We start from the raw sequence: 25472 nt of genomic DNA, 5'->3' as shown, positions 1-25472 counted from the left end.
TTTTTTTTTTTTTTGTATTTTTAGTAGAGATGGGGTTTCACCGTGTTAGCCAGGATGGTCTCGATCTCCTGATCTTGTGATCCGCCCACCTCTGCCTCCCAAAGTGCTGGGATTACAGGCATCAGCCGCCATGCCTGGCCAAAATTTAACAGTTATTTAGACCTGTGTTCTAAGATTTGAAACCACTGATGACTTTTCACGAAGTAAGATTTGAAAAAATCTCTCTAGTGTCACATCCCTCAATCGGCCAATTATGCATCATTGTCTTTTGCTAGTTTCTAAAATGATTAATTGCACAAAGAATAGAGATAGCAGGTTTGTGTGAAGGATGCTCTTCTTTTTTGCCACCTCAAATTCCCCGCTTCCTGCCTCCAGCAATTTCTGGTCTGTTCTCTGGATGTCAGTTCATTACCACATTAGTGTGTTCATTGTATGTTCTGTTGCCAGGAAGGTGCTGCCACAGCGGCCCCTGGGAAGTCAGGATGCTGCTAGTTTTCACTGTAGGTCTATCAAAGAGAAACCTGTGGGATTGGGAAGGGATTTGGTCATCCCAGACATGTTCGGTTTTAAGGAACTCTATGTTCTAAGAAATATGTTGACATCAACCTTTTTATTTCCAGCATAGGAAGGAAAAGGAAAAAAGGGAAAGAAATATTCAAATTATCTTGGAGCTGTCCTCTCATTTCTATTAGGCACAAAATCCATAGTTCCTTTTCAAATGGTTATTGACCCAACAAAAGATTGGATGTACTGGGGCTGAGTATTATCTCTGTTATTATCACATTCTTTTGTCTTCTATGCACTTTCATTCATCTCCTGTAGAGGCAGATCACAGATTGATTTTAAAAGATGTAACAATGTCTCCTCAATCGCTGCAGAGTACATTTTGTCATTGTGTTGACTGTTCGTGCATTTCAGTTTATTATTGCTGGTTTCAAAAGCATGTAATTTTTATCGGAAAGTAGGTTACAATTAAGGGAGTTGCAGGTAGTGATCCTGGGTCCTGTTTTGTCTCCTTGATAAATTCAACTTAGAGGAGCTGGAGAACACGTGTCTGGATTTGTAGCTCTCCTGTTCCCTCCTGAGTAACCTCAGGATATAGCACCTGGGGGAAGACAAAGGAGAAGCAAAGCGGATGGATGCGGGTGTCTTTAGCAAAATGACAGGTGAGGCAGGGCGAGAACAGAGGACGGAGGTGCTGGCTGCTAGAAGCTTTTCAAGATGGAGCTGTAGAAGCAAGCCTGTTTTTGGTGAGAGAGGCAAAGTCTCATGCCCAGGGGAGATTTTTGTTTTCTTTTAAGGAGTAATAAAGTCTAGGGTGGTCTGTGTCATTTCACCCTTTCTAGTAAAAAGGATTAGCTCTCGTTGAAAATGCCTCCTTGTCCCCTGAATCTGTCAATACTCCACCTTTGTCCTCACCCTTGACTTTAAAAACCCTGCCACATGACTTCCTATGAATGCATAAATTAAGCACTTTTTTTCCTTTGTAGAAAAAAAAAATACACACACACACACACACACACACACACACACACACACACACATATGCACACAGCAATTAATAACCAGAGTTTATTGAGGGTTTACAGTGTTCCGGCCATTTCTCATTGCATACAAAATCTCATAAATCCCACCCAAAAACCATGAGGTGAGTATCATCCCACCTAGCAGATGAGGAAGTCTTAGAGAGGCAAAGTAAGTTGCTTAATGTCATACAGTGGAGAGCCAGGATTGCCAGCAAGCCTGCCTGGCACCAGGACCCATATTTTTAATGTTTGCGTGTGTCACATGTACAGCGTCTTCCATTTTATGTGCAAATATTCATTTCTCACACCCTCTTTGGAGAAAGACAAGGTGGAGAGGAGGAAGTTGTAAGTGTTGAAATGGGAGCACTCACACATGTGAGTATCCAGGAGCCCCCAGGAGGCTCAGCAGCCATGTGGCCCCACCTACAGCCACCTCATTTCTTTTTCTGCAACATAAAATGCCGCTCCCGGGTGCTATTGAAAATACATGTTGTGTGGTGCTGACACAGTCCAAACATACCTACTGAGCGTGCTCAGATCTAATTAGGAGCCTGTCTCTGCTTCCTGAGATATGAAAGCGTCTGGAAACATGTTTTCTTTTTCTTCTTGCTTTGTAGAGATACATCTTTTTAAAAAATTGCAGAAAGCTTTTTGGTTTCTTGTTCAAAAAAGTATGAATCGGCCAGATGTGGTGGCTCACACCTGTAATCCTAACACTTTGGGAGACCGAGGTGGGTGGATCACTTGAGGTCAGGAGTTCAAGACCAGCCTGGCCAACATGGTGAAACCCCATCTCTACTAAAAATACAAAAATTTGCTGGGCATGATGGTGGGCGCCAGTAGTTCCAGCTACTCAGGAGGCTGAGGCAGGAGAATCGCTTGAACCCAGGAGTCAGAGGTTGCAGTGAGCCAAGATCACGCCATTGCACTGAAGCCTGGGCGACAAGAGCAAAGTTCCATTGGGACAAAGTTGTATGACAAACTACCTTTCTGCCTGAAATCCATAATAGGAGCTGGGTGATAGACTGAGACCCTGTTTCAAATAAATAAAGTAAAATGAATAAAAGAAATGTTACATACTGTTTTGGAAGAAAGCTCACTGGCACTAGAGAAGCTTTTCGGAGCTAAATCATGCCCCAACAAAGGATAGCACAAGAAAGGCTGGAGGAGCCTCTATCATCAACTAGTTAAGAATTAGCATAATCCAGGTCTTTTTCTTTGTCCTTAACCCAGCATTTTCTCCTACTTAATTTGAATAACTGAATGGCCTGCCTCTTTGGATGATGAGAAAGCTTTTATCTTCTATTGAGAAATGATGAATAGTATTGGCTGAGACTTGTTTCCTAATATCTATGCCTTATTCAAAATGTCATAGATCTTTTATACTAATACATTTTAGTATACTAAAAGTTTAGTTCCTTCTATAATTTATCTGTTCTGAATTTTCCATCTCCAACTAATTCAAACCTCATCAGGAGAAAGGAGAAACAAATTGTACCCCAACCATTGTTCCTTCTTGAGTTGTATTATGTCAGCACAGTCCTATTTTAAGATCCTAAACTCTAAAGCTCATTTTTAAGGGTATGAATACGTCTAGACTAAAATCGCAAAGCCACCCCAGAACAAGGAGGAAAAAAAATTAAATGTTCTTAGAACTGTTATTTTTAAACTTAAAGATAATTTATATAATAATAATTACATTTATTCTGAAAGCTCCTACTTGTAAATTGTTATACTCTATACTTTGGTTTTTAGGCTCTTTTTTTTTTTTTTTAAAGTTTTTTCATAGATGTAAAATTGAAGATGGTGGTGAGGGTCTGAGGATAGTTCACAAGACTGTTTAACCCATGCTTAGCTTGAACCTCTGAGCCATAGTGTCCCCTAATCCCTGGCTTGGGCTCTGCTGACACCAACTGTAATGCAGAGAAATGGGGTGGCTTTGGGGCCTGGGATGGCCTCTGCAGGCTGTCCTATCCTGCCTTTCCCCATACGCTCCTGTTGCAATCAAAAGAAAACATAGAAACAAATCTCTAAATTAAATGTTTTATTTGGGAATCACAGAATAGCAATTTGGGGCATACACACAGACTGAGGTGGGCTTTGGTATGTCTGAAAAAGGGAAGCTTGGGAGTTTTATTATAAAGAGAAATGTGGGCCAGGGACAGTGGCTTAGGCCTGTAATCCTAGCGCTTTGGAAGGCTAAGGTGAGAGGATCACTTGAGGCCAGGAGTTCGAGACCAGCCTGGAAAACATAGCAAGAACCTGTCTCTACAAAAAAAATTTAAATTAGCCAGGTGTGGCAGAGCACACCTGTTGTCCCAGCTGCTTCAGAGGCTGAGGTGGGAGGCTCACTTGAGTCCGAGAGGTCAAGTGAGCAGTGAGCCATGATTGCAGCACTGCATTCCAGCCTGGGTGATAGACTGAGACCCTGTCTCAAATAAATAAAGGAAAATGAATAAAAGAAATGTTACATATTGTTGTGGAAGAAAGCTCACTGGCACTAGAGAAACTTCTGGGAGCTGGCAAGTTCTGATTAGTGGGTGTCAGTGATGGTGGTAGGAAAAACCAGTCTTGGAGTCATGGCGGGTCGTTTCAGCAGCTACTAGGTGACACTGTTTTTAAGGTTACAGCTTGCCATTTTAGCAGCTGGGCTTGCAGAAAAGTCAATTCTTGGAGCAGATGCTGTGTCCTGAGTGCTTACCACCTGACTCCGGGCCCTCGACTCTGGCTTAGTTGGGTATGATAAGAATGGCTCAATTTGCATAATCAAGTTTCACACTCTGTATCCCAATTTAGGTCTCTGTGACTTCTGGACCATGCTTCAGGCCACTGCCAAACCAAGGTGTCCTACAACTCACCCTGGCCATGTCATTGTATTGCTAATAACTCTTCAGTGATTTCCCCTGAGCCAGTTGACTTGAGGGTTTCAGAGTTCTCCAAGTCTGCTCTCAAACTGCATTTCCAGACTTTATCTGTAACTTCTTCCCCCAACCAACACATCTCCTGTGTTCATGTCTAACTGGGCCACTCCTAGTTTCCTGGACATAATTTAAGGTTTCATTCCCTCCTTTCATCTCTGTTGCCTGTTGCTCTTTACCATCCATCAAAATCTAGCACAAATGCAATTTCTGTGAAATCTTTCTAACCCTTCACACCAGAAGTAACCATTCTCTCCTCAGAAATCTCATAGCTCTTTAAATTTATTTCTTATTAATTGTTCTCATTCTATTTTCTATTCATTTAACAGACATTGTTAGGCTTTGCTATAGTTCTGTTTTCCTTTATTTAAAAAAAAAAAAAAAGAAAATACTTGGCCAACCATAAAGTGAAAATTAGAAAGCATCTACTTCCTAAATTTAGGAAACTTTTTAAAACTTTTTTCTGTTCTTGAGAGTCTCCCATATAAAGATGAGGCAGGAAGCTGGAAGCTGTGTGGTTGCAATGCTGTTTCTATCTGTTTTGCTGTCTGGATTATTCCAGTAATTTGGAACAGGATAGAGTGGTCCTGGAAGCTAGCAATGTGGGTGGCTGAGGGAGGAAAAGAACAATGCTATTCCACATCCATTTCAAAAACATTCTAACAATGAAACACAAATTCGGATCAGTTTGTTTCCATTTTTAAGTAAAAATACTGTCCACAAGAGATAAATCTCATTAAGATCATGCTTATTCTGTTAATTAAATGAAAGTTTGCCGAGATATATAATGGGCGACTGGGACTTCAGATGGGATGAGTATCAATTAGGAAATCCTCGCCCTGGCAGTCTTTTTTTTTTTGAGACGGAGCCCACAGTCCCACACCACCACACCTGGCTACTTTTTTTGGATTTTTAGTAGAGGCAGGGTTTCACCATGTTGGCCAGACTGGTCTCGAACTCCTGATCTCAAGTGATCCACCCGCCTTGGCCTCCCAATGCGCTGGGAATACAGGCGTGAGCCACCACACCTGGCCTGGCTCTGGCAGTCTTAAAAGGAAGAGAACAAATTAACTCATCTAAGTGGAAAATTCAGAGGTGGCCCTCGGGGTTGATTTGAGCCAGAGGATTTTGAAGTCTCAGAGTTGTGGCTTGCTGTCTTTGAAAATCTCTTGACTTTGTCATCTTCTGTGTGTGAGCTTTGACCTCATGGGCTTTGACCTTGTGGAAGTGAGGTGGCCACTGAGAGCCCCCAGGGCTGTGCGCCTCCTGGCTCCTGGGATAGGGTGGGATCTTCTCTTTCCTCAACCATTGAACAAAATTCTGAGCATTTCTCTGAATAGACAAAGTTCAAAGTATATCACATGTCTACCTCTACACTGTGCCAGAAGAAAACTGTGATTGGCTTAGCTCAACCAAGGCCCACCTCTGGAGCTGGGGGTGGAAAACACAATGTTTATCCAATGGCAATGGCTGGCTGGAGGGTAAGACTGATGGGGGTCTTTGACTAACCACAAGGCAACATAAGGCCACAGTAACATAAGTTGAGGACAGGAGGCCAGGCGCAAGCAAGGGTTCGTTTATCTTTTGACACCCTCTCATTGAGGCCAACTCTGTGCCAGGCATTAGTAGTCTAGGTGCTGGTGATGAGAGGTGAACAGCACAGGCCAGGCTCCTGCCCTGGTGGAAATGACAATCTATTAGGGTAGGAAACAATAAGAAAACAGACAATTAAGTGCACAGATAGTTTCAGGTTGTGACAACTGTCATGGAGGAAATAACAGAATGAGTTGCAGAGATGGGGAAGAGGGTACCTTAGAAAAGGTGACTAGATTTCAGAAATCACAGTAGAAGGGCAAAAAGCCAAAATGCCCCTTTGCAATTTTGCAGATTGCTGCCTACTGTACATGCTGTCCGTGCCCGAGCAAAGCATTGAGACTAATTTGGGAAACCAAAAAGCTTCCCACTTTGCTTGGTCTTCACTGTACCAGCTAGCCCAGATAAATCTTTCTGGCTCTCCCAAGGACTCTCCATCGTTGTCCAGCCCTTCTTTCCTAAAGGCAAAAGGGAAGGAGGTGGACATAGACAAGGAGCTATATGCCATCCAGCACCCACCACTTTCCCCATCTCCCTTCTTTCTTATCAGAGCAGCAAGTGCAATGTTTGATAAAGTCCCCAGTTAAAGAGTCTTTAGAAGATTTTTCTATTAGGCCAGGCACAGTGGCTTATGCCTGTAATCTCAGCACTTTGGGAGGTTGGGGCGAGCAGATCACCTGTGGTGAGGAGTTCGAGACCAGCCTGGCCAACACGGTGAAACCCCGTCTCTACTAAAAATACAAAAATTAGCCGGGCATGGTGGCACCCGGCTGAGGCACGAGAATAGCTTGAACCCAGGAGGCGGAGATTGCAGTGGGCCAAGATCGAGCCACTGCACTCCAGCCTGGGCAACAAAGTCAGACTCTGTCTCAAAAACAAAAAAGTTTTTCTATTAAAAATATTGCTGCTGAGTGAAATTTCCTTACTACTGAAAATGTTGTATGATACTTTGAGCTGCTTGAAATGCTGTTTTAATATTTGGTTTAGAATATCCATAGCTCTTTGTACTACCCCCTCTGCACATAACACACAGCTTTAAACTTTAAAAAAAAAAAAGTAATTGGAATCTTTTCCATGGATTTGTACCTATCCATAAACATATAAGACCCTGTTTGATGTTTGCTTCACTGGAAACAAAACTAACCAGATGAAGAATTCCTAAGATCGAAATATTCTTTCATGTATATAATTCACTGAAGTGTAGAGAAAAATTGATATTGTTAGGTCAATCAATGAACTTAAGGGCTTTTTTTGCATTTTGTTATGCTTTTGGCATATGGATCACAAGTGACTTTATGCTTCTAAAGAAATTATGTTGGTCTGTGGTTTTTAGTAGTTTGTTGTAAAGCATATTTGAATTTTTTTTTTATTTTGTTAGGGCATATATCAAAGCTTGACTTTGGAGGGGGTGGATAGTCTTGTTGTAGAACATTCGTGTGTGTGTGTGTGTGTATGTATAGCCTTCAACATTTTTTAGCTTGAAATTAGTTTTGAGGGCATTAAATATGATATCCTGTTCCTTAGAAAATATTAAAGGCTCTCTGGTTGACATTAGCCATATGGGACCAAATAGAATCTGTATAATGTTATAACTTTATAATTTGATCAAGACATTTATAAAGTAGATGGCAATGAAATAGGAAGAAACAAGCTAAAGGTAAAAAGAAATGAGAGAGAGAGAGGAAGCATATTAAATGCTAAATAATAGAAAGCACGTCTGTTCTGAGGTTAGAAAACTGTTCAATTAGTTGTCTAGCAAGGTTTCTGTAAGCAGTGCCTCTGCCTCCTCTTATGGCCAGACACTTTCTGTAGCATTCTGTTTAATTTGCCATGTGTGCCTGACATAATGAAGTTTAAAGAACATCATGGGGATGATAGAAGCCTTTGCATTTCTAATCTTATGCTGAAGGGCAATTGATAGAAGCAACTCATCAAAGCTTTCTTTCAATCAAAACATCTTGTTTTGATTAAGCACTTCAGGTTTGGTGCTTCATTTAGGGTGTGAAGTTTTACAGAAATTGTTTATAATTGTCACTGAGAAGGCTGCTGAAGAGCCATTTTCTTTCCCTGCCCCATTCTTCCCACTGAAATGAAACCTGGTGTATGAAAATTTTAATTTTAATTATTTATATTTAATTATTTTAATTATTATTTAATTGTTTGAATGATAAAAGAATTTTCTTGCTTTGCAAAAAGATTCCTAGCAGTGTCTTGAAAAGCAGGACTTTGAGACCTCCTTATTTCATCTTTTCTGAAATGTTTGGCCAGCATCTTTTGGACATATGCCTTTAGGATCCACAGTTGTCACTGTTTCGGGGGCTGAAATTGCTAGAAGTGTTAGGAGGCCCTGCCTGTGTCTTTCCATAAGCAGCAGCCTTCACCTGTCATTGTCACAGCACCCCCCACCGCCTTAAGAACTGGACAACACCTCAAGACCACATTCACCATGTTACAGCTCTGCTTCTGTTCCAGTTCCATTATTCTGTTAATTAGTGTCACCATCCCCCTCATCCCCCAGGCTTACATCCTTCATCATTCCTGATGCCTACCCTTTTCTCTTTCTCACAATCTACGCCCACAGCTGCCAAGTGATAATGCTTCTGCCCGCAAATCACCTCTACCATTTTCCTTCCTTTATCTTGGAGAGAGAGCATGCTATCCTGCCAGGATACAGAAAAGTTGATTTGAGGTGGGTCTCTGGAGCCCTGTGTTTGGAAGGATTCTGAGGCCATATCCAAGCTTGCGTAGGAAATCGATTAGCAATGTCTGTGGTGGCAAAGAAATAGAATCACCATATATGCCACAGATTTGTGGCAACTGGTGTCATGATTGAAGCCTTGGATTTTGAATTAAGGAGACCTGGGTTTCACCCTTGGCTCCAAAACTTTCCAACCCTTTAACTGTGGGCAAGTCAGTTAACCTTACTCGGCTTTAGTTTCCTTATGAGTTCAATAGGGCTCATTGGTTAACTTAAAATGCATTGAATCAAATTAAACCTAACTAATATTAAATACTTCCTGTGCATAAAGCAAATCTAGATTTGTTGTTGACTATGATAAAGAACAAATAACATACATTACCCTTCAAAGTGTGGTACCAAACATAAACCGTTCTATTATGTTCAATTTCTTCTGCCATTGCTCTGACTTAGGCTCTCATCACTTAGTTCCCTTCCTCACTATTCTCCACACAAATGCTCCCTCAAAAAAAAAAAATTTGCTCTGCATAATAAAGCAAGGCTTTGATCATGCCATTCCCCAATTCCCAAGCTTTCTGTGGAAGTCGTGGTTGGCAGTGAGTGAGTCCCCTCCTTGGTGTTCAGTATCTTCTGGCAGCATCCTCAGGACTTCCCTGAAGAGAATGCTGTAGCAAGCAGCAGCTGGTGGGGCCTGAGGAGAAGGATGGAGGACAGCCTGGTGGAGGAGGCTGGGCCAGGGTCTAAGAGAGGAGGCCTGTAAGAGAACACGCAAAGGGAGTGCCAGGAGAATCCCCACTTTTAACTACCAAACCTCTGGCTCTGTCTTCTAAAGTTCTACCCTATTTCCTCCCCGCAAGGCCACCCCACCTCCACATCCTCATAGTCTGTCTTTTTTTTTTTTTTTTTTTTTTTTTTGAGACAGAGTCTCTCACTCTGTCACCTAGGCTGGAGTGCAGTGGCACAATCCCAGCTCGCTGCAACCTCCATCTCCTGGGTTCAAGCAATTCTCCTGTCTCTGCCTCCCAAGTAACTGGGACTACAGGCACCTGCCACCATACCCAGCTAATTTTTTTTGTATTTTTAGTAGAGATTGGATTTCACCATGTTGGCCAGGCTGGTCTTGAACTCCTGACCTCAAGTGATCCACCTGCATTGGCCTCCCAAAGTGCTGGGATTACAGGCGTAAGCCACCATGCCTGGCCAAGTCTGTCATTTTCTACTTATGTCTCCTCTGTTTTATCTTTCAGTTTTTATCTCCCTATTTGAATCATAATATAGAACTGAAGCATATTTTTGTAATCTACTGTTTACTGAATTAATTTTATTTCCTCTGTTCTTAATTTTATAAGTGAGAGAGAACATTTCCTTATTTCTTGTTTCTTTCTCACTGTCTCAACACCTGCCTTAAGAAAAAAAAATACTTTGTTGAGTCTTTCCTTTCGCTGAGTTTAATTTCTCCCTGTGGCATAATAGTTCTCATCATAAAGTTCCCTGTTCTTATTGAGAATAGTGACCTCTGCAAGTGCCCTTCAGTTATGACTCCATGCACGGAATTTTTATTTCCACATTCTATAATCCGGCCCTTCTCAACAGAGGGGATTTTGTCCCCCAAGGTACATTTGGCAGTGTGTGGAGACATTTTTGGTTATCACAGCCGAGGGTGGGAGGTGATGCTACTGGCATCTGGTGGATAGAGGCCAGGGAAGCCGGGGAAAAACATCCTTCAATGCACAGCTCCCCGAAACAAAGAATTATCTAGCCCAATAGTGCAAAGGTTGAGAAACACTGCTGTAAAGTAGTGTAAGCTTGCGCAATGCTCAGACAGAGCACTTGGTGAGTAGTTTTTATAAAATGTTTATTTAGGCCCAGCATGGTGGCTCATGCCTGTACAAATCCCAACACTTTTGGAGGCTGAGGCTGGCGAATCACTTGAGGCCAGAAGTTCAAGATCAGCCTGGCCAACATAGTGAAACCCTATCTCTACTAAAAATACAAAAAATTAGCTGGGTGTGGTGGTGCACGCCTGTAATCCCGGCTACTTGGAAGGCTGAGGCACAAGAATTGCTTGAACCTGGGAGGCAGAGGTTGCAGTGAGCCAAGATGGTGCCACTGCACTCCAGCCTGGGCAACAGAGCGAGACTCTGTCTCAAAAAAAAAAAAAAAAGTTTATTTAGTTGAACCTAAACCTCTTAAAGCTAAAGAAATCAGCTTTATACTCTCTCCCTGATTACATTTGTTTTTTGGCCATATGTTGTATTACCCAAATTATCAAGGTATTTCTATTACCTATATTCAATAATTCCTTCTTTCTCATTTATTTTAACTTGACTTAATTCCTGTAACATATTCTTCTACAGTTTCTGTGCTAATTAATGAAGAAAATACTTAGTAAATATATTTAATAAGGTAGGTATGATTTTAGAGAAAGCTGTACATAGATTTGGTTTCTTTAATTTATATTGTTAAATATATGTTCATTTTTTAACCCATGAATACATCTAAAGTAAATTTAATTTAGAAACAGCGTGTATTATAGAATAGCAAGCCATATCTTTTACCAATAGCGTTCTTTTTGTCTTCATTTATATGTGCCATTTTTTCAAAATTATTATTACTCTAAATATGCATTTAATTCCCTTCCCACCTTGTCATTTCTTATAAGCTTCCAAAGTTGTAAGTTATGGGCCAATGACCATAGTTTATGAGTGATAAATTATGAAGATAGATTTAACACTGTACAGTGTTGTAGTAAAAATGTGCACAAGTTAATCTAACACTTTTTTAATGATTTACATATTCATCACTGTGCTGCATTGTAATTAGACATATGGATAGGGTAAGCAGTCCTGAGAAATTACCATGATTAGTATTCTTTCCACATGGCCAAATCACATTTTTATAAGGCTTTTTTTCTTGCTTGCTTAGTTAGTTCTCTAGTTCTTGTAATCAGTGTCATGGCTGATAGCCTCCCTTGTATAGTACAATGTACACTTTATGTACACTTAATTGTCTTCTTTCTCTCTCTCTCTCTCTCTCTCACACACACACACACACACACACACACACACTTGTATTTCTCGTTGACACATACTTAAAATGAAAAACATGCAAGCTGCTCTCTCTCTCATATTATTATCCTGGGGCTTGGGAACATTAAGAATAAGGAGATGATTGGGATCAATGACGCTAGCATCTCACATTTTTATCTTCATTTTGATAATATGGAATTGAAATCATTGTTCTTGTTTGGGAAAAGATAGGGCATAAACTGGAACCCAGAGGTATCCCTCAGTGTCAGTCATTGCATGCTGTCCCCCTATAAGCAGAGCATCATTTTCTGCTTATCACTTAAGGAATCAAAACACATGCTAAGGGTGGTGGCTCACGCCTGTAATTCCAGCACTTTGGGAGGCTGAAGAGGGCAGATCACTTGAGCCCGGGAGTTTGAGACCAGCCTGGGCAACATAGTGAGACTCTGTCTCCACAAGAAATACAAAGTTAGCTGGGCATGGTGGCACCTGCCTATAGTTCCAGTTACTTGGGAGGCTGAGGTAGGAGGATCGCTTGAGCCCAGGAGGCAAAGGTTGCTGTGAGCCGAGATCGTGCCACTGCACTCCATCCTGGGCGACAGAGCAGGACCCTGTCTCAAAAAGAAAAAAAAAAGAAAAAACCCACCATGTTCAAGAGCACACAAACTTAAAGTTGTAACCAGACTGTGACACATAAAATGGCAGCCATGGTCACACCAACCAAGAGCTGCCATATGCTTTTTACTCATTCATGCCTGGGTGAATTTTAAAGTGATAATTCACAATTTCCTTTAAATCAACCAGGTGGTACTGAATTTTTTTCCTTCAATGTTGTTGCAAATATGCCTAAATGGTGAGATCGTAGCCAATTTTGATTCTCATTATTTACAAATGAAATCTTTATAGTATAAGAAATGTTTACTGCTGATGTTTCCTCTCATTCATTAGTAAAAGCAAGTTTTTCAGACATTTCCATTTAAATGCATACTTGCAAGACTTCATTAAATATCTTTCCAAGAACTTGGGGTAATGAGAAGTATGTTTGGTTTCTTTCCTGTAGCTTTTCCGGGAAGACTGGGCTAGGACACTTAAGTGTTTAGCTGGCAATTGAAGAGAAGTCTTACTGCTTACTCTTCTAGGATAAGACATTCATTGACATTTTTTAGTTCCAGGAAATAATCTTGTACCTGTAATTGGGACTTATTTAGACTTTCTTAGGCTTTAAGTGTGTGTTTAAAGTAGACTCTTGGAAGCAGTAATGGGAGGGAATCAAAGAAAACCAAACTCAAAAGAAAGGGATTAACCTAATCAGCCACATATGCCCTCTGCTATTTTAGATCATATATTTTAAATCCAGATAATTTAATGTTTTCATATATGTTTGAAGACCTACAATATTAATAATTTATCCTGTTGCTGATGGAGATGGCCTCTTAATTCCAAGTGAAATTTAATTTTTATAAACGCAGAGTTTAAGATGAAAAATTAAAATGTTTAAGATACAGCAACCCTCTAAGTACGACTATCAAGTACAGTTTTATCAGTGACACTCTCCTTTATCAGGTGTGTTTGCTTCCATTGGATTACCTGAATCAAGTTTGCTGTTGTTTTCAGTTGCTTTTGTTTTTATAAGTGGATGATTTAAAATGTTTATGCTTTGCTTACATGAGAAGGTAGACTTGACCTCTACCCAACCATCACTACCAACAAAATCCCCCAACTAATCATAAAAGTCAAATGATGTGCTACTTTAGAAATATGTCTGTTTCTCATTTTTCTTCCTATGGTTTGATAAACAGCCTTTAATGGGAAAAGTTCTCCAAGAATATGGCTTATCATGACTCCACTTGCCATAGCCCAAGCAACGTTGTCCAAGAATTCCTTCTACATATTGGTTTCTTCACCCCTTGGCTATTTATGGAGCTCCTAAAAAGTCAGATCTCTCTGATCCAGCCAGTCTTACCTCACACCTGGTTCCCGCCTTCCATTCTTGCTATCATGGCTAGGTCCAGGCACTCCTCACTTCCCTAGCACAGCACAGGCCCCTGTCTGGTTTCCTTGCCTGCAACCTTGCACTCCTCAGCTCCATCCTCCACATTGCCTCCCAGTGTTCTCTCTAAAAGGCAAATCGTTTTAGATCAAGTCTTACTTATTCTTTTAAAATATTTTGTTGAGTAAGGAGCCTCCTTACCACCCTTCTCCCATCCTCTTTAAATGGTCCCAAATACCCTACATCATCTGGTCCTTATCTGCCACTCCAGAATCCTCTTGATTCATCTTCTGTTCTAATTCAATGGCCCGATAATGAAGAATGGCTGGCAGTTCTCCTTCCCACACTCTCTGTTCTGCCTTAGACCTCTCCTGCCCTGGACCATGCTGTCCTGTAGCCTGGGGCACCTGCTCTTCTCTTCACCTAGTTTATCTCTGCACATTCTCTAAGGTGCACCGCAAGTGTTCCCTGTGCTATGAGCCTCCACACTCACAACCCTCAAGATGGGTTAAATGTCCGTTTTCTGAGCATCTAGAGCCCCCTCCACACACCTCTGTCTTCTACCCCAGCATACTTAGCACCTTATGTTGGAATGATCTGAGGGTGGAGTTGTCTCTCCCTCCCCTCTAAAGGTTTACCTGAGGTAGGGACTGCGTCCTCTTCATCTTATCCTGCCAAGGCCGAGTGCAGAAGAGACACGAGGGAATGATTTCTCTGTGGAGCTTTACTGGATGCCTCAATAAGACGAACTTTGCTGTTTTCTTTCAAAGAAAAAAAAATCTTTACTTTTTTTTTTCTATATATCAAGTTCTAACAGCATATTTTAACTTTTTTTTTTTTTTTTTTTTTGAGGTGGAATTTTGCTTTTGTTGCCCCGGCTGGGGTGCAATGGCGCAATCTTTGCTCACTGCGACCTCCGGCTTCCGAGTTCAAGCGATTCTCCTGCTTCAGCCTCCCAAGTAGCTGGGATTACAGGCGCATGCACCATACCCGTCTAATTTTTGTATTTTTAGTAGTAACAGGATTTCACCATGTTGGTCAGGCTGGTCTCGAACTCCTGACCTCAGGTGATCCACCCTCCTTGGCCTCCCAAAGTGCTAGGATTACAAGTGTGAGCCACTACGCCTGGCCTAACAGCATATTTTAGAGACCTCACTTACTTTTACTTTTCTTTGTTGTTCTATATACAGTCTAAGCAAAGTCTCTCTGAAAATTGTGTGTTCTAACAGCAAATCTTACCAATTTTCTTCCTTGTTTGAAAATAAATATTCAAAATATTACTTTCCTTTTGGGGCATATATACGTTTAACATCTCATCCTTGAAGTTTTCCTGAATAATGATGTCAAAACAAAGCGCCTTACTTGTATTATTCTAAGAATGTTTGGAGGAGAAAAATAGCAATTTTTGTTAGAGAGAGTTTTAGGTTTATGTGAACTACAAAAAAAAAAATCATAAAAAAATCAATCTGGCGTTTGTAGAATTTTTTAAAAATTTGATATTGTTGGTAGTAGATGTAATAGTTTTTTCTATTAAAAATTTATTCATTTTACTTTCACTGAAAAATATATTCATTATACTAAAAGAGCGTTTACTCTCAACTGTATAGAGTATAGGCAATTACTGTTTTGTTTTGTTTTTTTTTGCTATAGTATATGAACACTGAGTTATAAAGAAGATGACTGTAAAATGGTTAGTTTTTTTATAAAATAGGTGCTTTATTTGTGTTCCTCTCTAAAATCTTGTCATAAAATAATTTATAGAGATAGCTACCCACATGCCATAAATGCAAAGACATAATTAGCCACTTCTGATATCACTTACAGAAGACAATTTACTCAGTCCAAGAAGTGGGAATAAGATTAGCGTGTGCATCATGTCATATTGCACTTTAAAATAGATACAATGTAGAAAAATATACCTACATGTAATTTAAATGGGACCAGTCTAAAAGTAAATGCTGCCCCCAAGAACCATGAAGCATCCAGCTACTGGTATTCAATTGTTCATATTTCTAAAGGTATAATAAGAATAATTCTGAATGACCAAAGGAAACTTTAAAATCCATCCAGTGAATTTTCATCTAATTTTTTTTTTTTTTTACCTTTCCTGTTAGAAAAATACATATTCAGTGACCAGGTGTGGCGGCTCATGACTATAATCCCAGCACTTTGGCCTCTCCCAGCACTTTAAGAGGCCAAGGTGGGAGAATCGCTTGAGATCGTTCGAGACTAGCCTGAACAACATGGCAACATTCCACCTCTACAAAAAAATTTTGAAACTTAGCTGGATGTGGTGCTGCACACTTATAGTCACAGCTACTGGGGAGGCTAGAGGATTACTTGAGTCAAGGAGTTTGAGGTTGCAGTGAGCCATGATCACACAACTGCATTCCAGCCTGGGCAACAGAGCTAGACCCTGTCTCAAAAAGAAAAAGGAAAGTGTGCATCAAAGTCTACTTGAATATGATTATCTTTGTAATCATGCCCCAGTTTGGAGTCAGTCTTTTGTTAATCATCATTACAGCAGCCAAATATTTGAAAATAGAGGTCATGGTCAGTGAGAGTTTGGAGATGAAATGCTGCCAGAATCTGAGCTCTTGTTCATCTTCTCTTGGTCCTCTCTGCTCCTCGTGCCTACACATTAATGGCGGGCTCAGGAGGGAAGAAGACTCTCAACAAGGAAGAGCTGAAGTGTCTGTGTAGCATGGCACACTGGGCTGTTCACTCCCACCCCTCCGCTGAGCACCTTCTGGCGTTGTCTTCCCTGGGCACCTCTGTGCCTTGTGTCTTTCCACATGCTGCTTCCTCTTTTTCTTGAGGACACTCTTACACCCTGCCTCTAGGCACTGCTCAAAGATAAGATTGTGTAGCAGAGCGAGGTGCCCAGTGCATATTAGCTTTCCTCCCACCTGTTCCCAGGCTGGAGTAATCTCCCTCCTCTCCACTGCGAGAGCCCTTCCTAGGTAGGGTGCCAGTTACACCCTGGGAATACACGCTTGGGCTCTGGCGTCAGACTGCACCAAGTTCAAGTTCTGGCGCAGATGCCGTGTAGCTGTGTGCCCCTGGATAAATTCCTTGCCGTGCTAAGCCTTAAGTTCATCTTTAAAATGGGGCTGCATTTGCGCTTAGCTCTTAGCATTAAATAGTAAGGTCATGCATGTTGGGGAAGTACACGTTGAGTATCCCTGTCCAAAATGCTTGGGGCCAGAAGTATTTCAGATACAAGGGTTTGGTTGTTTTTTTTTTGTTTGTTTGTTTGATTTTGGAATATTTGCATATACATGAGATATCTTAGCGATGGGACCCAAGTCTAAATATTAAATTCATTTATGTTTCATGTACGCTTTATACATATAAGCTTGAAGGTGATTTTATATTATTTTTATAGTAATTGTATGCATGATACAAAGTTCATGTATGTTGTACCATCAGAAAGCAAAGGTGTCACTATCTCAGCCACCCCAGTGGATGATCTGTGGTGATTTGGCATCACCATCATTACTGACTCTGAATTTATAGGCTACCAATAAGCAATCATTTTCCTGCACTTATTCACACATAAGTACTTAACAGTAAAAAATATGATACACCATTAATACAGGAAAAAAATAATGTGTGCAGATTAACTAAGCAGCACAGCAGCATCACAGAATACCTGGATCAGCTGTTAAACAGCAGCAACAACAGACAGTGCAGGCTTTAGTCTCCACTTACCATGCTGTGTTTTGATTAAAAGGTAGGACACTGTGCAGTGACTCTCTTGGAGACGCTGAATAACCTGTGCAATGTACCTGCATTTTGACTGTGACCTGTCACAGGAGGTCAGGTGCAGAATCTTTCACTTGTGGCATCATGTCAGCACTCAAAAAGTTTTGGATTTTGAAGCATTTCAGATTTTGGATTTTCAGGTCAGGGATGCTCAACCAGTAGTAAGTGACTGGCACACAGGAAGTGCTCAATAAATGGTAGCTATTGATGACTTTGTCAAAGTTGTTAATATGGCTTGCCTTTGTTCTTTAAGGATAGAAACGGGGTTTTATTCTTTTTTGTATGTCACACAGTGGATGTTCAAAAAATATTTGCCAAGGGGATAAGTTAATGAATAAACTTAGAATGGTGTTGTGAGCCAACAGCAGGAATATTTCAAATCTTTCTGGGAAAGCTGCTTGCCCCTTCACCTCTGCTGGACTCCTTGCCCCGAACCCAGTAGTTCAGAACCTTAAAGGAAACTACTCAGATAGGGTAGATGTCTTTGGTTTTGTCTCATTTCTTCATTCACCGTTCATTGAACAATTACTACAGGGCTCCGCCTATGTGTCCAGGCACCACTGACTATCTGAAAGCAAGGTGCCAAAGTGTAAAAAACACTGCTGAAAACAAATCAATTTGTGTTTGTGTGCTGTCATGTGGAGAGCAGAGCCCATCTTTTGGTATATTTCAGCGATGCCTCTTTCTTCCTCTGGGATACCAAGGGCTTTCCATTTATGCTTGCAGCCAAGAAAAGTTTTCCAGAATCATCCAAGGCTATTTACCTTATGCTGAAATATACAAGTGAACAGGTAAAGATCCAGAGGTGTTTAACAGGAGGGGCTACCAGACAATGTTACATAAAGGGAACAGGGAAGTGAGACCTGGTTGAAGGGGAAACAGCCTGTGTTAGGTGACTGTCCCTTTATCATGGGAGAGTGCAAGGCGTGGACTAAAATCCTTTGCTGACTGTGAACTTCTTGAGGGATTAAACTATATACTGGACCATTTCTGAGATCCTCTAAAATACTCAATATATTTTGTTTAATTATCTGATCACTTTCTACTGGAAACTAACATCTAATTCGCATTTTCCTAAGTCTAAAGTAGAGAAACACCTCACAAATGTATTAGTAAATTGGATAGAAAACATTGACAGTGTTTCCTGAGTTATGTGTGTTAAAGATGATTCCACTAAATTAAATTACAGACTTTTGCTCATCAGTGACTCATTTCGGATTTGTGGAAAGAGAAAGGCGACTTACCTTGACTTTGACTCATACAGTGGGGGTTAATAATGTAGTGATTAAGGTAACAGTCATCAAAAGCTGTTGGGAATAATGCAATAATGCCTATACTTTTATTCTTTGTGTTATATTTTAGTGAAAGCTCTTAAATGATTAAAATGTATGAAGCAAGCAAAGTCTACCAAGGAATAATCAGTGCAGGTGTTCAAGGAGAGAGGGTGAAACAGACTCTCTAAGAAATAGTGATTGCATAACACGGTGTGTCACATTCCCCTCAGCAAGGTGAGGACACACAAGAGCATAAAACTGCCCTATGATATGACTCAGCTGGTACCCACCAAGATAAATGCCTTGAATCATTCAAGACTATTTACCATATGCTAAAATCCACACTGTAGCATGTTATGTTATATAGCATCTGCATTGCGGTAAGATTATATAATCCCAGGAATCAGAAGAATGACAAAAACATAGAAGGGAAGGGGAAAACCCCCCTCCATCTGCCCTGATCTCTACCCTAAAGGAGAGAGTGAAAGAATTTGAGAAGGGAAAGAGGACAGCTGAGAATAAACAAAGAGGGAAGGGGGCCTCAGACGATGAATCCACTGAAAACCAAATGTTTCTAGAGTTCCCTAATGAAGCCGTTTCCTAGCCGGTGCAGACGATGCTATGACAGTGTGGTGACAAAGCACAGCACTTTACTTTGCACATCACTCTACTCAAAACACACCACAATTTATTTTTTATAGCAGCTCTATTGAGATATGATTCACATACCATACAATTCACCCACTTAAAGTGTACGATTCGATGGTTTTTAGTACATTCGCAGAATTGTGCAGTCGTCACCACAATCAATTTTAGAACATTTTCATCACCCCAGAAATAAACTCCATATCCATTAGCAGTCCTATAATTCATTTTTATCCAAAGAGAAAAAGAAACATCCTATATTTATAAACCTAGACTTACAATATAGTCATTTTGTTTTACAAAAGTAATGTTATAATTGGGGATAAAACATCTATGACTTGTTATAACTCTTACAAGGAAATAGTAACTTGAAAGGTTGAAAGTGTTTTAAAAATTATAGATAATCCAGCTTGGCTCTCTGTCAACTGTTTTTTTTAAAAAAATTATAAAATTCAACATTTATGCCATTCCTTGAGACTAGACTTCACTATACAGTCTACCTAAGTCATCTGCCTTATTGGTCATTTTCAGGACCCATAATGCCACCTACCTAATGAGAACATTCATTGAAAATACTTTGTGACCTTTTGTTTAAATATCATATTGGATAGTCTCCTTACAGTAATTAATACCCAGAGCATATAAAAGAACAGATTGGCCAATCAGAATATAAAACAATTCTATATGACAAAACACTATAAAAATTAAAATTAGGAGACAAAGGGAAAGTGCTGTTTGTACAAAATGTGTCCTACAAAAGACTACATTTCATAATATATTGATTGGAATATTTGCTAATCAATAAAGGTGAAAAAAAAAACAGAAAAAAAAGCAGAGGGATATTAACAGGCAATTTACAAGAGAGAAAGTCCAAATGGCTTATTAAATATATGGAAAAAGTTTTCAATTTACTAAGTAGTAAAGAAAAGTAAACTAATACAACAGGGAAATCCCATTTTTTTCTCAAACAGGTAAGGAAAGTGTTGTCAAAGCGTGGAGAAGCTCAGTCTCATACCAAGTTGATGAGAAAGAATAGTGCCAGACAGCATCCATCTGTCAAAATTTTAAAGACACGTCAGTCTGCCCTCATTGATCCAGCAACTCTGTCTCTAGAAATTTTGTGCACAAATATACCAAAGTATTTTATAAGGTTTACTGCAGTTTATTTGTAATCACAAAAATCTAGAGGGAAAAAAGTAAAAACTATCAGTAGAGATCTGGCTAAGTAAATTACTATATATCCATTTAATGGAATACTATGCTGTCATTAATAAGAATTAGGCCAACCTAAATAGGCCAATATTGTAAATTGTCAAATATAGATTGTTAAGTGCAAAAATAAAATCAAAGTTATCAATATTATGTTTTGTATCCCATTTTTATACCGGAAAACACATACACACATATACATACTGGTATGCATATTTTTATAATGCTTATATATTCTCTGACCTTTTAGGACAGACCAGCCAAGAAATTGTTATCTATAGCGTATTGAACTAAGAGTGAGAGGAAGTGGGGGAGAGAGAGTTTTTACTTTATCCTCTTATATATTATTTAAATTAATTCTAAGATATTCAAATGTTTTAAAATGCAAGAACATTTTTACATTTAAAAAACAACACATATATTATAGAAAATTGGAAATGCAAAAAAAGTAAAAGCAATGCCTTGATCTAAGGGAAACAAACACTGTTAAAATCTGTTCGGATATCCTTTAAAAATGTTTCTTTGCATACAATGTGCACACTATACTGTTTTATAATCTACATTTTTTCACTCATAAACATTCCACATCACTATATGTTCTTTTACAATACATTTCAAGTAAATATGTCACTGTTAATTACATGGCTATGATAGTCTGTTAGTGCATTTTCTCTTCATTTCCCTTCATAAATAAATTGGAAGGAAAATATTTGGGAGAAAGCAGTAATCAAGGTAATAGGAGAGGTTTGTCAAAATAAATGTCATAAATGAGGATTGGGCGGTGACTCAGAGACCCAAAAGCTAAGTTCATTCTTTAAAAATAAGATGTATCACCAAATCTTAAGGGGGGAAAGAAAACGATGATGGAATGAATCAGAATTACAGAATGTCTTCTACATTTCTAACAAAGTTAACAAATAGTCATTTAAAGAATTAAAACAAAAATGAAAAAACAATTAAGAAATCATTAGCTGACTCCAAACAAAGACAGAGAAACAAGTCTGGGTCCTACACTTTAAAAAGTGGTTGTCCAGGAAAGACACAGAAGACTGCTGTGTGACACAGCAGGGAGAGCCCCTAACTCCTAATTTAGGGTGATTTATTGCTTCCTTCTTTTAATATTTTTGCACATTTTGAATTTTTATAATGGCATATAACGTATTTACAAAAATAATAAATCCATTACAAACCCTTTCTGATAGATTATTTTTAAAGAAAAAGAGGGAAATTATGCATGAAGGGTTGATATTTTCTGTGTATGAACATGATTTTCTCAGTGAGGCCCAGCAGACCTCAGGAGAATCCTGCTGTTGCTAAGAGACCATAGTGTTCAATAGCTTCTCTCTTAGCTAAACGATGTTTTAGGTTTCTGTAATTTTTATCAGGTACAGAATATTCCAGAGAGAAAGAAGAGAACAAGATTATCTGTTTTCTAAACACAAAAGCATATATTTTTAAAATTATATAAATACATCTCTGCTAATATTTTTGGAAAGGAAAAAAATTCTGCCATGTGAGATTGAGTGTCTTTAAACAGGGCTTGACACTTTACTCTTTGTTTTGGAAATAAAAGGGCCAAGTTTGTCATAGAAATACAAGTTTACCTTGCAGTTTACATACCATTGCAATTAATGGGGTAAATATTTGAAGATGATAAGTCTAGCCACCAACAGCAAGTTATCTACTGAAATAATTTTGTGAATTACTTAGCCAACGATAACTGCCTTGTGGATTGCAGTAATGACTGATTTGTTTGATGGCTGAGGGCCAAATGCAAATAGAGTATCATCTGATTTCAGGCGTCTTGGCCACAAGTCAACTGTAATGTCTCCCTTCTAACCAGATCCTTTTCATTGAAAGACCACAATCCCTCCAAAAGCCTATATGCTGTCATATTAGATGGCTGCCTTCGTATAACTACAATATTTATTAGCCTTGAAATGCTGTACCCAGGGACTTACATAAGTACTGCATGGGGAATTCATTTCAAGCCACATTTGACCCCTTGTTGTAAAGGTGATCTTCAAATAGGTTTAAGGGAAATAAATCAAGTTTTCAACCCAAAGTCTGCTTTCTCCTAATAAAAAAGAAAAGAGGGTTTAGATGTTTCTAACCTTTTCTTCTTTTCTTCACTTTGGAATTGAAGATTAATCACATGTACCCAGAGATGTAATTTAATGTCTGTCATTTGGAATAGGAGGGAAAATAGATAAATTGTTCATGAAGAGGGTGCTTTAAAATTAAACAATACAACCAAGGATTTTATTAGACAGTTGGTGGGAAGGATACTTCTCATTAAAAGGAAAGTCAAGTAATTAGAGAACATGAGAAACAGGATAATAAATACTAGACTTTTTGGCAAAAGTGGGGAAAAGGAAATCTGAAGTTTTCAGAGTAGGACACATAGAATTATCCTTGATAATTAACTCACTCTTAAAAAATGTCTGCCTTACTTTGGATGAATGTGAAAGAATATAAAAAGAAGAAATTGTTTAGAAATTGTTGGAATCCAGGAGAACTTTTTCATTCGTAAATTTTCATTGCATATGTATGTGTGAACATGCTTTCCACTGAAGCCTTCTTTTTTTTTTTTTTTTTTTTTTTTTTTTTTTTGAGACAAGATCTTACTATGCTGTCCAAGCTTGAATTCCTGGGCACAAGAGATCCTCCCACCTCAGTCTCCTGAGTAGCTGAGACTATAGGCGCATACCACAGTGTCTGGCTTGAAAGCTTCTATTTTTATTGGTATAACTCTGTCCTTAAGAAAACAATCTAGCTACATGACATAGGTGATTAAATTATGCTCACAAGATCAGTTCCTAGATAATTGTTTGCCTTTGGTTTTTCACAGAATAGGAAACTAGAAGTTTTGTTTTTGAAATGATACGAATGGCCATAGAATTTCCCAAATTCCCGTTTCTTCATCAGTCTTTCCCACCCAGTCTCTTCCTTGAAAGCAACTTCCTCTAAGGCAGATGACAGGAGAGGGCTGAGCAGCAAGTGCAGCCTCCCTTGGGAATTGTGAGCAACCAGATCACGCAGCCAGAAATCCAGAGAACAGGACAGCAGGTCACTTATATGATGGCAGATATGTTGGCTGGTTGTGAACGGCTTTAAGGGGTTCCACCTTGTACTTAAAGACCCACTGGAGCTGCTTAAATATGCAAGTCCAGCCTAACACTGAGATGTTCACCAAGAGTGTCCATTTCTACTTGATTCAGACATTTTCAGGTGTTCTAACCTCACCTCCCTGCCCACTCAAACAGGTCACCTGTGGCACTTAGATCACCTGTAATTTCCCCAAGCAATTTACTAACATGTAGCATCGTTAGCAAGTATATCACTTACGTGACTGACAACTGTAGGTAGCTGGATTTATCTATGAAGACAGAGTCTCATTTTGCCAAAAATATAAGCAACGCAGAACTATTTCGTCTTTCCAGTTGGATTCCAAGCTAACATTTAGGGCAGTTGGGATTCAGCTAAAAACACAGTTGCTTTCTCAGCAGAGTAGAGAATGACTGAAAGAGGAGTGGCCATGGGGAAGCTTAGAATCTACTGAAGCTCCTAGCAAGTGTAGTTTCTAGAAATTTACCTTTTAGTCATATTGAACCTGTGAGATTTTTGTCTCCAGGTTTTCTAAATGTTTTATCCTATTTAATCTTTAAGTGAAATAACCTAACTTTCTGTTTTCTCTGGAGCAGTGAAAATGTCAGGAAAACGACTGACAGACTCCACAAAAGCTGTCCTAACATGTGGGTGTTGTCTGGTTCATGTACTGAGTTATGATAAAAAGGAAAGAATTTATTTTATCCCTGTTTCCTGAGTTCTCTCATGCTGCTTTCTTCAACGAGCAGCCTAGAAACCCATAGGCATAACTGAGTCACCAGAAACTAATTCATATGCAGCACTTAATTGAATTTCTCCGGTGGATCTCACATGTGGCACTCTTCCGAACACTTTTAGAAAAGTGGCATTGCTTGTGCAACATCGGGGGGAGCTTTTTCTAACATCCTTTGCTTCTTTAGGGTAGATATTTCTGCAATCTCCCAAGAAGTCATTAATTCTAAAGCCTGCCAATATTTAGAGCAGTATCTAAACCATTGCCCAGAAACACGATTGGCTGCCGTATTTTTAAGTAGCCCCTTGGAAAGAAATGAAAGTTTTCTTAAGAACCTATTCGCCGGGCATGGTGTCTTACTCTTATAATCCCAGCACTTTGGGAGGCTGAGGCGGGCAGATCACGAGGTCAGGAGATCAAGACCATTCTGGCTAACACAGTGAAACCCCGTCTCTACTAAAAATACAAAAAATTAGCCAGGCATGGTGGCATGTGCCTGTAGTCCCAGCTACTCAGGAGGCTGAGGCAGGAGAATCGCTTGAACCCGGGAGGCAGAGGTTGCAGTGAGCCGAGATTGCACCACTGCACTCCAGCCTGGGTGACAGAGCGAGACTCCGTCTCAAAAAAAAAAAAAAAAAAAAAAGGAACCTATTCAGCCTTTATCTAGCAGCTTTCCCTGCTGTCTAAGAGAACTTCTGCTACTATAATTTTACATCTCTCCTCTAGGCAGTACTATTATTTTAGGTACAGAACATCACCATCACTATAGTAATCATTTATTATTGAAAAGCAATCAAAAGTATTCCCAAAGTTTTATTTCTTCAGACCACACAATCATTATTTTATCATTACTTTTGCATGGTAAGGCCCTGATCATTTTCATTTTTAGATGACAAATCAGCAACCTGAGTTATATATAAAAATATGAATTTGAAGGTTTTAGGGTATGCCTAATTTAATGCCTGATTTTTGTGTGTGTTC

The 25472-nt window shown here is 39.5% G+C and overlaps 1 protein-coding gene and 1 long non-coding RNA gene across 8 annotated transcripts in view, besides 1 other annotated feature; one reads left to right on the top strand and one right to left on the bottom strand.

The window, feature by feature from the left end:
- DCLK1 (doublecortin like kinase 1) overlaps positions 1–25472 on the top strand; it is a 363288-nt gene that overhangs the window by 220798 nt on the left and 117018 nt on the right. The gene's annotated exons all lie outside the window — the stretch shown is intronic.
- Positions 7732–25472, bottom strand: part of LOC105370163 (uncharacterized) — a 45346-nt gene continuing 27605 nt past the window's right edge. The window contains exons 2-3 of one of the 2 annotated variants that reach the window (XR_941855.3): positions 14393–14515; positions 7732–9489 (exon numbers count right to left, since the gene is read on the bottom strand). This is a non-coding gene — a long non-coding RNA (uncharacterized LOC105370163). Of the gene's footprint in view, positions 9490–13534; positions 13881–14392; positions 14516–25472 lie in introns of those variants that run through there. The other variant, XR_001749821.2, reaches the window with a different exon arrangement.
- Positions 17671–18870: an enhancer, noted in NCBI's record as "P300/CBP strongly-dependent group 1 enhancer chr13:36466409-36467608 (GRCh37/hg19 assembly coordinates)". NCBI's record gives its function as "activates an origin of replication core promoter dependent on BRD2, BRD4, P300/CBP, MED14 and CDK7 cofactors, with strong dependence on P300/CBP, by STARR-seq in HCT116 cells {active_cell/tissue: HCT116}" and the evidence as "EXISTENCE:reporter gene assay evidence [ECO:0000049][PMID:35650434]".

The sequence above is a fragment of the Homo sapiens genome, chromosome 13 (genome assembly GCF_000001405.40).
Source record: "Homo sapiens chromosome 13, GRCh38.p14 Primary Assembly".
Lineage (NCBI taxonomy): Eukaryota > Metazoa > Chordata > Mammalia > Primates > Hominidae > Homo > Homo sapiens.
Note: the sequence above shows the minus strand (reverse complement) of the source record. Positions and strands in the feature narration are given on the sequence as shown.